The following is a 12,093-nucleotide window of genomic DNA, read 5'->3' as shown; positions in this document are numbered from 1 at the left end:
ACCTAGATGTGGGAGTTGGAGCATAGAGACCTCCTGGAGCCGGGAAGGAGAGGGGTCGCCGCACTGTGAGCTGATCCTATGGGTGCTGCAGGCACTCAGGAAATACCGGGAGAGACCGATTCCATGCAAACCGAGCCAGCAGCACTGCCCACTCTCATCAGGGTGAGAGTTTCAAGGATCCACGTGGAGCAGCTTTCAATATTGAGCGCCCGAGATGGCCATTTTGAAGATGCAAGTCTCTACAAAGGAGAGATTGGGCAGGAATACTCTCTCCACCCCACCGCTGCAACCAACAACAACCCTCTTCCTTCTCTGCAAATGTATTCCTCATCCCGGAGACCTTCCCTCCAGATTCCTAAGTGGCCTCAGGAAACAGAGGGCCCTTACGGTATTTATACATCTAGATGATAGGCAAGTGCTTTTAAATGGAAATGCCATTCCAATCTAGAAATCTTGACATTCTTCTCCATGGGCACAGAGCACTTTCATGGAAATCAGGAAAGGCTCCTGTGTGCAGTCAACGACCTGCACAACTGTGCCCAGCAACCCTGTTGCAAGCGCCATCACCTGCTCAGCCTGCGAGAGGAAATAGTGTGAGCCAGTCCTCGGTCGAACCATGAAGTCACAGTAGAAAGGAATTGGGGTCAACGAACCTGGTGGTGGTTTTCAAAGCTCTACCCCTCTCAAGTTCCCCTCAATACCCTGAATCCACCAGGCGAGTCCCGTCCTTAATTTGGTGTTGGAAACCTGAGGTCCGGAGGGAGCTCGCAGTTTCCCCAAGTCACAAAGCCCTGTATTGGTGGAGATTAAAACGCACATCCGTTCCAAACTTCCAGCTTGGTTTCTAGACCAGTGCTGTCTAAAAGAAATCATGCAAGCCATGTATGTAATTGTAAATTCTTTAATTGTCACATTGTAAAATTTTTAAAAAGGGGGAGAAATACTAATTTTAATAATGTATTTTATTTAACTCAAAATATCCAAAACCTATAATCCATATAAAAAGTATAATGGCAGCCCAGGCCTGGTGGCTCATGCCTGTAATCCTAGCACTTTGGGAGGCCGAGGCGGGTGGATCACCTGAGGTCGGGAGTTCAAGACCAGCCTGGCCAACATGGTGAAACCCCATCTCTACTAAAGATACAAAAATCAGCCGGCTGTGGTGGCAGGCACCTGTAATCCCAACTACTTGGGAGGCTGAGGTGGGAGAATCTTGAATCGGGGAGGTGGAGGTTGCAGTGAGCCAAGATCACGCCACTGCACTCCAGCCCTGGCGACAGAGTGAGACTCCCTCTCAAAAAATAAATAAAGGGGGGTATTTTACTTTTTTTTTTTTTTTTTGAGACAGGGTCTAGTTCTGTCATCCAGTCCAGAGCGCGGTGATATGGTCATGACTCACCGCAGCCTCAATCTGCCAGGCTCAAGGAATCCTCCCATCTCAGCCTCCTGAGCAGCTGGGGTTACAGGTGCATGCCACCATGCCCAGCTATTTTTTTTTTTTTTTTTTAGAGACAGGGTCTGACTACATTGCCCAGGCTGGTCTAGAACTCCTGGGCTCAAGCGATCCTCCCACCTTGACCTCCCAAAGTGGTGGAATTATAGACACGAGCCACTGCATCTGGCCTACATTCTTTTTTTCATACTAGGTCTTCAAAATCTGGTGTATATTTTACACGTACAGCACACTTCAATTTGAATGTTAAATTTCCATTGGAAAGACGTGATCTGTATTTAGAGTTCATAAAATTTACAGTCAAAAAGGCAGATTCACATAGCAGGTTGTTCCAAACATACGTGAGTTTTCTTAATAACTGAATCAAGGACCGGAGTTTAAATTAAAATTAATTAAAACAGAATTAATTTTAAAAATTCAGTTTCTTAGTTGCACAGGCCTCATTTCAAGTGCTCGCTGGGCACATCCGGCCTTGGCAACCAAATCACAGAGGAGGTCTGGAGCTCCAGCCAAATCTGCAGGGACCCTGACACCCTTCATGTTGAGGAGGATCTGTGAGAATTGCTTCTTCCCCAGGCCCATTGGAGGAAAAGAGCAATCGTCCTGGGAAAATAATAGAGGCACCGCGACTGCTCATGGTTCTTATTTTTCTGTCTTTGGTTGTACCTCTGGCTTTCCGGGGCTCTTGTTTGACAAATGGCAGCATCGCACCATCCCCATGCTTGCAACGGGGAGGACAGCCAAACCGTCAATAATAGGCTCAGGTGACCAACTCGAAGAAGGCCTGGACAAGGTGCAATGTGGACGAGGACGGATGGCTTTGAGCAGAGCCAACACCCTGAGATGCTGACGGCCTGAGGCCACATGCCCATGGCGACTCGAGAGGCAGTGATGACAGGATCTCAAAGACTGAGGCTCTCAGTCTCCCTCGTATTTGCTTTCTGGGGCTACCACAGCAAGTACCCTGATCTGGGGTTGCTTAAAACAACAGAAATATATTCTCTCCCAGCTCCGGAGGCCAGAAGTCTGCAATCAAGGTGTGGGCAGGGCTCCACTCCCTCCAGAGGCTCTAGGGAAGTACCTTCCTGCCTCTTCCAGCCAGCCTTCTAGCTCCTGGTGGCTCCAGGTGTTCCTTGGTTTGTGGCCACATCACTCCAGCCTCACGTGGGCTTCTCCTCTGTCTCTGTGTTGTCTCTTTTTTTTTTTTTTTTTGCAGACGGAATCTCCCTCTGTCGCCCAGGCTTGAGTGCAGTGGTGCGATCTCAGCTCACTGCAACCTCCACCTCCTGGATTCAAGCGATTCGCCTGCCTCAGCCTCCAGAGTAGCTGGGACTACAGGTGCATGCCACCACACCTGGCTAATTTTTGTATTTTTAGTAGAGACGGGGTTTCACCATGTTGGCCAGGTTGGTCTCAATCTCCTGACCTCATGATCCACCCACCTTGGCCTCCCAAAGTGCTGGGATTACAGGTGTGAGCCACCGCACTCGGCCCTTATCTAATGTTTTATAACAACACTTAGTCATTGCATTTAGGGCCACCCTAGATGCAGGATGATTTCATCCTTAACCAATTACACTTCCAAACATCCCGTTTCCAAACAAAGTCACATTCTCAGGTTCTGCAAATACATGAATTTGGTGGGACACTCTTCAACCCACTACACCCATCTTCAGGCAAACCCAAGGCAGTCTTAGCCTTGGGGGAAGCTCCGCCCCTCACAACAACAATAACAGCTAACGCATCTTCACCACTTGCTGTGCACCAGGGATAAGTACCTTGCCCGTATTATTTCACCCAACCCAAATAAATACAATTATTGTCCCACTTTACAGATGAGTAAACTGAGGCTATCAGAGGCTGGATAATTTATGCAAGGGCACACTGTCAACAAGTGGAAGAGCAGGAGATGGCTGCAGACGGGCTGACTTCAGAGCCGACATTCACACGTGTTCCACTGCATGGCTATTTGGGACCCCTCAAAATCCAACATCTTCCTGTGCGCACAGCAGTGCACTCCCTTCAGCTCCATGGGGAGACAGCATTTCGGGGAAAACTCAAGGACAACAGTTAAAACAGTAGCTAATGTGCACGGAGTGTGTAGGACGCATTCAACAGCTTTAGCACTTAACCTCCTGCCGTGTATTCGTGAACCAGGGCTGCCGAGACAAATTAGCATGAACTGGGGGTTCTTAAAACAGCAGAAATGGATTCTCTCCCAGTTCTGAAAGCCACTCCAGAAATCAAGGTGTCGGCAGGGCTGTCTCTGTCTGGAGGCTCTGAGGGAGGATTGCTCCAGGCCTCGCTCCAGCTGCTAGTGGCTAAGGGCCACCTTCGGCATTCCTCTGCTGGAAGCTGCATCTCTGCAGTCTCGGCCCTCTGTGCGTCTGCATCTGAATTTCCCTCTTCTTTTAAGGACCTCAGTCAGATTGGATTTAGGGTCCACCCTACTCCAGTATGGCCTCACCTTAACTTGCTCACATCTGCAAAGGCCCTTGGTACAAATAAGGTCACATTCACAGGTAGGAGGGTGAAGACTTGCACATATCTTTTTGGGGACACAACTAAACCCACGGCACAGTATGTGTTAGGACTCACACGTATCTTTCTGAACCCACTATCCACCCCAGGGAAGCCTAGTTTTACAGATGAAGAAACTGAGACCTGGCGTGCTGGGGGCCTTGCCCAGCCTGGCCTGAGACCTGGCGTGCTGGGGGCCTTGCCCAGCCTGGCCTGAGACCTGGTGTGCTGGGGACCTTGCCCAGCCTGGCAATGGCAGGGCTTGGACTCAAGGCTGGTGCCCTCCAGAGCCTAGCTCTCAATCACTCCCTCCAAAGACTTTCTGGGACTCCCCAAGGCTCTTCCAGCCCAGAAACAAGGACACTGGTTGCCCAGGGTGATCTGAAAGTCAGGGCCAGTCTGCCCAGGTTCAAATCTCTGTTACAAGACCCTGACCCTGGATGACACTTCCCATAGATTACAGTCACTCTTGTGGCACTGACCAGGATTTTGGAAAAGACAACTCGATATTTTTCTGCTGCTTCTAACCTCAACAAACCTGGAGCAAAATATGCAAAACTCTGTAATGAGACCGCATCAAGCTCAAATTCTCCCTGTGCCCATGCAGCTTAGAAGGGATCTTCCCAGCTGTCCTCTGCTGAAGCAAGAGTTCTGGGCCCTTAAACCCATTGATCAGTCAGTGGCTGTAAGCTGCTTCACCCTGTCAGAAAAGGTGCAACAGTAAAAATGAAACTTTCCCCTAATTGACTAACGAGAGGAAGGCCATGGATGGCTTGAGTTTCTCCCTGCAGAGCGTCCCCCAACCCGGCCTTCTGCAGCCCCTTCCCCCAGTCTCATCTCTCAGAACCTCCCTGGCCCATGCACAACCCAGCCCTCAGCTGAGAGAAAAAGGGAAAGAAGGCAGATGCTGAGGCTCCCCCAGGAGAATGAAGCCATAGCCAGCAAGTCGCTCACAGCCCGGACAGGCACGTGGGAAACCACGTTCTCACTGCCTCGAGGAGGCAAGACAGAGGAGCGCCCTGGAAACTCCGCAGGATCCCTCCTCAAACGTGGCCAAACGGGCTCTGGGGAGAGTGTGTGAAGCCAACCGGGGACACCAGGAGGGAGGCGCCGTGAGGTCCTCCCCACAGTCCAGGGAGGCAAACTGCCTGGAGAGGCTGGCCGGCCATGGATGACGCCTGGGCCAGCTGGAGGCTCTCCTCAGGTGGCAGCGGGAGGGAGGATGGCCCAGCTGCAGTCACAGGCTTGAGTTTGGGGAGGACACGGCTTTGATCACAGCCCCGCCTCTGCCGGCTGGAGCCCAACCATTTTCCTGCCTCTTATTGCGGGGAGCTTTGCACCACAACATTGGACAAGCCTGGCATTCTCTGTGTGACCTCGCGAAGGCTTGCTCTTTGTGGGATAAATGAAGCCTGCTCCAATTACTCCCATAAGAAAAACCTCTTAGAAAATGCAAGCATGCAGGCAAAAGAAGGCTCTTCCCGCCTGCTTGGGAGTGGGGCTTAGAAATCCCAGGCTTCTTCTCCAAATACACCCTGAGAAGAGCCTGTGTGAAGTAGGGGACGCCCTCGGAGAGTGAGTCCCTGAGGGGCCTCCGCAAGGCAGGATAGAGGAAGTCTTGTCTCACAAATTGGCAGGTGAAATTGAGCATTAAGGGAAAATTGGCCTGGCCAGGTCAGGGTGGAGGCAGAAGGAATTTGGCTTTGGTAGGAAGCATAGTGGAGAAAGCGAGAGAGAGAGAGAGAGAGAGAGAGAGAGAGAGAGAGAGAGAGAGGTGGGGGCGGGGCAGCTATATCCCAAGGGCTGGGTTTTCCTGAATTAAGGATGCTTCGTGGCCCTAAAGAACTTGATCTGAGGTTGTCTCATCTGGGTTTGGAATCAATCTGTGATTGATTGGATTGCTGCTCAGAAACATGCACTCCCCACCCACACTTCCAAGAAAGAAGAAAGAAAAATAAACCTTCCAGCAAAGGACTGTAGCAATTGTCCTGTTGGGCTCCCCAGGAGGCAGACTCCTGGTTTGCAGATGGTTTGGGTGGTGGGGGCTGCTGGGAGGGGAAAGAAAGGAAAGGAGCTGGCCTGTGCAGAGGCAGCAGTGGCTGTAATGCAGTTTCAAGAGGAGCCTCAGCACTGCTGATTCCTGCGGGGACAGCCAATGCCTTTCTTGAAACTGCATCACAGCTCAAGTTCTCCCTGTGCCCATGTGGGGTAGAAGGGATCTTCCCAGCTGTCCTCTGCTGGAGCAAGAGGTTTGGGCCCTCAAACCCCCACATTGATCAGTCATTGGATTTGAGCTGTCTCACACTGTCAAAAAAAAGTCATAAAATTATGCAAGGTTGGCCAGGCATGGTATAGTTAGTTCATGCCTGTAATCCCAGTACTTTGTGAGGCTGAGGCAGAAGGTCGCTTGAGCCTGGGAGTTCGAGACCAGCTTGGGCAACATAGGGAGAACCTGTCTCCACAAAAATAAAACAAAAAATTAACCAGGCACGGTGGGATGCTCCTGTAATCCCAGCTACTTCGGAGGCTGAGATGGGAGAATCACTTGAGCCCAGGAGGATGAGGCTGCAGTGAGCCAGTTGCACCACTGCACTCCAGCCTGGGCCACAGAGAAAGATCCTGCCTCAAAAAAAAAATATTATATATATATATATATATATGCAACATAACTATCCACAGTGGTCTAAGAATTAGCTCACAGTTGCAATTATACATCTAGTTTTATTAAACACCGTATTTTTATGAGCTTATTTTCATAATGCTGGGGTATTTTTTCAGATAAAGTCCCAATTTGCTCTGAAAGGTGGGTCCAGTTTTAAGTGGATTCGCTTTCTCAGTGCGTAACTCACTTGCCTTTCCGCTGCTACTCCCCACCCACAGCAGACATCACTAATCAATCACAGAGCACATCACACTCCCTCTAATTTGCAGCCCTTTCCATTCACCTACTTGGGTCTCAGGTTAAATTCTCCAGAACACTTTCCTGGCCATTCCCAAGCTGGGTCAGCCACCCTTTCCCCATGCTCACCTTTCATGATGTGGGTCACATGGCACGTCACATCCCTGCTTTCTCATCTGTCTCTCACAGCAGGTCTGAGCTTCTGAGCCCACAGGTTAATGTCCTGTTCACTGTGACCCCAGGGCCTGGTACAAAGCCTGGCATACAGTAGGTGGGCATCACAGAGGTGTCCCCAAGATCTCCTGCATCCTGCCTTTTTGTGATTTTAGACATAGGTTGGGGAGGGGCTGATTCTACTGCAAGATCAGATGTGAATCCTTGTCAGCACGCTCACCCCTGGTAAGTCAGACCTAAACCAATCAGAGTGAGTTATTCCTCAGCCCAGAGGGATTGATGGAGAAATGGGCATGTGACCCAGCTGGAGCCAGAGAGATGGCATGGGGATGTGCTGGAGGCTTCTGGGAAAGAAGAGGCCTCTCCTAGCAACCGGCTCTTTCTCCTTGTGAATGAGGTGGTGTGTAAAGGGATGCCTGGAACTCCTGCAGCTCTTTTGCAATGAAGAGGGAAGCCAACCTGAGGATGAACTAAAATGGCAGACAGCACAGCAGAGAGAAGGAAAGAAATTGGGTCCCTTGGTAACACCATCAGGAGCTGAAGCAAACCAACTCTGACACCCACCCTGTCTCCAGAACATTCACTTACATAGACTGAAAAACCAAGTCTTTTATTGTGTCAGCCAATACTAATGGGCTTAGCCCCATTCCGGCTCCTTTGACTTGGCCACTTTGCTGGGGTCACTTTGTCTCATGGTCTTGGGATCCACAGGTCTTGGAAACAGATGACCTGGGTTCAGATCCCAACCCCAGCACTTCCTTACTACGGGGCCTGGGGTAAGTCACATCCTCTCTTTGAGCCCCAGTTTCTTCAGACACAAAATATCGCAAATGAGAGGCTCCTCCAGCTCAGGGATGATGCGTTACTTCTCCTCTCAGTCCGTCCCCTGTCTTCCTTTCTACCCCGCCATGGCTGATAGTCAGGGGAGAATGGACATTCTTAATACATTCGAGCAGAGGACCGAGGATCGGGGTCTCTGGTTGCTAGCTCTTACTAGAATACAGGATTTTTCAACAAACACTGATATAGCGCTTGCTCAGTGCCGGGCTGTGTTCTGTGTGCTTTGCAAATATTAACTTATGCCACCTCAAAACGCTAGGGAGTGGGGGACCCTGGCTATACCCATTTATAGGTGAGAAAACTGAGGCCCAAAGAGGTCAAATGACTTGGCCAAGGTTACAGAGCCAGTGGGTGGTGGAGCCTGGGTTTGGACTCAGGGGGCCAGGCTGCAGTCCAAACACACAGCTGTGACATTGTATTATAAGAATGTGCATTTGCTGGGTCTAGGCAGTTTACGTGAATATCTTACTTAATCCTCACAGCAACCCCATGAAATAGGTACTATTATTACCCCCACTTTACAGATGACAAAGCCATGTCTGAGAAATGAAGAAATGCTACATTTGCCAGGGGGTGAATGAGTGAATGAATTATGGTTAATCAGACCTGTGGAATGGCCTTGGTTTGACCCCTCTGTCCAGGCCAAGAGTGGACTCAGGAAGTCCCCGTTACCCCCGGAGTGTGCTCTTGGGACCGGGAGCCTCATCCTGTCTCTGATCCCTGAGAGCAGCCCTGGGCACTGAGTTCCCAGTAGCTTCAAAGGGAGCCTGAGCGTGCTGAGCTCCCAGGGGGCGAGGAGAGCCCGCCCCCACCGCTGCCGGCTGGGCCCCGTTGCCAGACGTCAGAAGTGCGCGAGGCTGCTTTGGTCTCAGGCCACAGCAGATGGAACCAGCTCAGTGCAGAGCCAGGCACTGCTGGGAACTGAGCTGGCATTTCCGTGTTTTTTCAATTCCACCAAAGCGCCCTAGAAACCACATGCAGAACAAAGTCGATGGGGCGCTGCCTGGAAGGCGAGAGGATCAGAGAGGGGAGAGGAGGGAATGCCTCCAGAGTAGCCTCCTCCAGAGCTTGGGAACTTGTTCCCACTCTCCCGGAAATGTATGCACTTCGGCTCAGCCAGCATTTCTCATCATAACAGTCACCTGAGGAGCCACCCTACTTCCTAGTGCAGGGTCGCTAGCCAGGTGTGCGAGCCAGGCATGCTGATCACTTCCAGCCTGAGCTCAGCCATCCTCAGAGCCCTGGGGTCGGGCCCTGCTTAGGATGGTTGAGCGCCTCCTGGGTGATGAGGTGGGGCTTGGACTTTGGACTTGGATGAGCCTGTTATCAGCCCTCTCTTGCATCTGAGAAAGCTGAGACTAAGGGATCAGGTGCTGCTCCTCACCCATTTGGGAAGAGGTGGAGATGGATTCGAGGCCAGGGTCACCGGTCTCCAGCCCAGAGCTCATTCCCCTCCACTGCCCCCCAGACACTGGACACTGTGTCCAACCCTGAGTGGGAAATGAGGGCCTAGAACATCCTGCCCTCGAGGAACGTGGCCTCGGGCGAGGGAGATGGGATAAATGCACAAATACCTGCACCTCCAAGGAGGATGGACAGTGGGAAAGAAACTCAGAGGAAGGTTGGCCACAGTGTAATCCCAGAACTTTGGGAAGCTGAGGTGGGAGGATCGTCTGAGGCCAGGAGTTTGAGACCAGCCTGGGCAACATAGTAAGACCCCATCTCTACAAAAATAAATAAATAAGTTAGCCAGGCATAGTGGTGTGCACCTGTAGTCTCAGCTACTCGGGAGGCGGGGGCAGGAAGGTTGCTTGAGCCCGCGAGTTTGAGGCTGCAGTGAGCTGTAATCATATGACTGCACTCCAGCCTGGGCAGCACTGCAAGACCCCATCTCTAAAAAAAAATAAAGAAATAAAAGACACTCAGAAGAAGAGAGGCATTCACCTTGGGTGTTACTGCTTCATGAAAATGGTGTTGAACAAGAGGTGCAGGGAATAGTGGGTCCAAGTATTGGAGGTAGAAGGAGTGGGTGCAATCTTCTTATCAAGTCACAGAAACTGCTTGGGCAGAAGCAAACCGTGAACAGCAGGTGTAAGCTCAGGAAGGTGGGAATGGCCTTCAACACCTGGCCAAGAAGTGTGGGCCTTCTCTATGAAGGTTTTTGAGCTGTAGTTTGTGATGATAAGAATTATGTTGGAGATAAATGTAAAAGCCAAGCCCAGCATGGATCCCCCCAAACACACTGTAACATGCTGGCTGATCCAAACACATCTGTGATAAACTCCACCTCCCTGCCAGGATGGACCAGTCCCTTCCCATCCTCACTTCATACGCCCCTGTCGATTCATTAGGTTAAGTTCAGCTAAAACATCTCAGATTAACAATGTTTTTGAACAAGATAGAAATGTGTTTTATTGTGTGTTCAAGAAGCCCAGTGGCAGCCAAGGGTTGGAGACCCAGGGTCTTTCTATCTTGTTTGTTCCACCAGGCAAGGATTTCTAGTACCAAGGTTACCTCATAGTCCAATGTGGCTGCTAAAGCTCCAGCCATCACATTCACATTCTAGCAAGCTAGGAAGAGGAAGATAATGGCATACATGTGCACCCCATACTCTTTAAGGACACTTTCCCTTACATGCCACTGGCCAAAATTTTGTCAGTTTGCTACATCTAACTGCAAGGAGGCTCAGAAATGTCGTCTTTATTTCCAGTGATGTCTATGTGGCCAGCTAAAAACTATGATTTCTATTATTTAAGAAAGACCCTGGGGAACATCTGTCAGTCTCTGCCAGGCCACCGGCTTTGGAACAAGGCATTTTATTGCCCGACATCGCACTTTATCACGCTTGCCGAGTTCCCTGTATGAGTCATAAAAATAAATACAAGTTCAATGATGGGGACTTGCAGGTGAAACGAGGCAAAACAGAGTCCGCAGCACTCGGTGAAGAAGGAGGCTGCAGGGCTGGGCCAGGTTCTGGTTTTTCCTCTGCTGTTTCCCTCGCCTGGTCTCAGCTTGCTCATCTGTAGTACGGGGAGGGAGGGGACTGTCAGGACCCCAGCAGTTTTCTTCTGGTTCCAAAGCACCAAGTCTGTTCACATACAGAGGCCCAGCGGTGAGATGAATTTGCCTTTCTAACAGCAGCATTACCTTCCATTTCCTGAGTGTGTGTGTGGAGTGTCTTTACACAGAGCATTGCCTGGGGGAAGAAAAGGGTTTTTTCTGCCGCCTTCTACAGAGGCTTGGAGGGTTCAGGACTTGCCTGGGTTAAACAGCAGGGAAGAGGCAGGGATGCAAGGGAGACCATTACGATGCCAGGTCCAGACTTGGAGCAGGCTCTGGTCAGCGTCACCAAGGGGCCTGGGGGCTTCGCGGGGGAGTGGGGGTTGCAAGTACACAGGGGCACATTTTCAAACCATACAAATGGCTGATGTTTGCAGGCTCCAGTCAGGAGCTAGGACTGTGCTATGAACCCTGAGAGGTAGGTGCTATTCATATCTCCACTTTACAGATAAGAAAACTGAGGCCCAGCAGGGTGGTCCCAGGGCAAACGGCAGAGCCGGGGTACCAGCCCCAACAGCGGCCCAGGCTCCGCTCTCACTTCCACTGTAGCGCACATCACAAGGGCTGAGATCAAATTCCTTTGTACAAAGTCCTCGCCAAAGCTAAGGAGGCGGGAAGTGAGAGGGTGTGAAGGATGGCTCACAGGTACAGCCCAGAGCCCGTGTGGGAAGGAGCAGGCTGCTTAGTTGGAGCCAAAGGCCTCAGGCAGCTGCCACAGAGCCCCAGCCCCGAACCCCCAGTGGAGGTGGGGCTCACTTACAGAGCTCTGCTGCCCACCCAGCAACCTGCTGGTGTGGGACCCCCGGGGAGGCCCCAGGATGGAGGACCCCAGGGGGAGGCCCCCAGCATGAAGAACCAGGCTCCTCCAGGAAAGTGGACTGGGATACACACTCCCCTAGGCAGGCCTGCACACACACACACACACACACACACACACTCTCACACTCACACTTCCTGGTGTACCCACAACCCAGCTCCCAGGTCCCGCTGGTGCCCCAGGCAGGGCAGGATGGGCCTCTAGGAAGGGTCAGTGGAGGTAGCAGCTCCACCTAGCCCACGCGCATGCTTAACCCCCAGGCCACAGTCCCGCCCCCTCATCCAGGGATGCCCCACTACCTGGCACGTGCAGCGAGGCTGGCTGCCACCG

General features: G+C 51.4%; 1 annotated feature.

Moving 5' to 3' along the window:
• Positions 5,646-6,305: an enhancer, noted in NCBI's record as "H3K27ac-H3K4me1 hESC enhancer chr16:86065665-86066324 (GRCh37/hg19 assembly coordinates)". NCBI's record gives its function as "activates a minimal SCP1, AML or CMV promoter by ChIP-STARR-seq in naive H9 embryonic stem cells {active_cell/tissue: H9 hESC(naive)}" and the evidence as "EXISTENCE:reporter gene assay evidence [ECO:0000049][PMID:30033119]".

The sequence above is a fragment of the Homo sapiens genome, chromosome 16 (genome assembly GCF_000001405.40).
Source record: "Homo sapiens chromosome 16, GRCh38.p14 Primary Assembly".
Taxonomy (NCBI): domain Eukaryota; kingdom Metazoa; phylum Chordata; class Mammalia; order Primates; family Hominidae; genus Homo; species Homo sapiens.
This window is presented reverse-complemented; position numbering and strand designations above follow the sequence as displayed.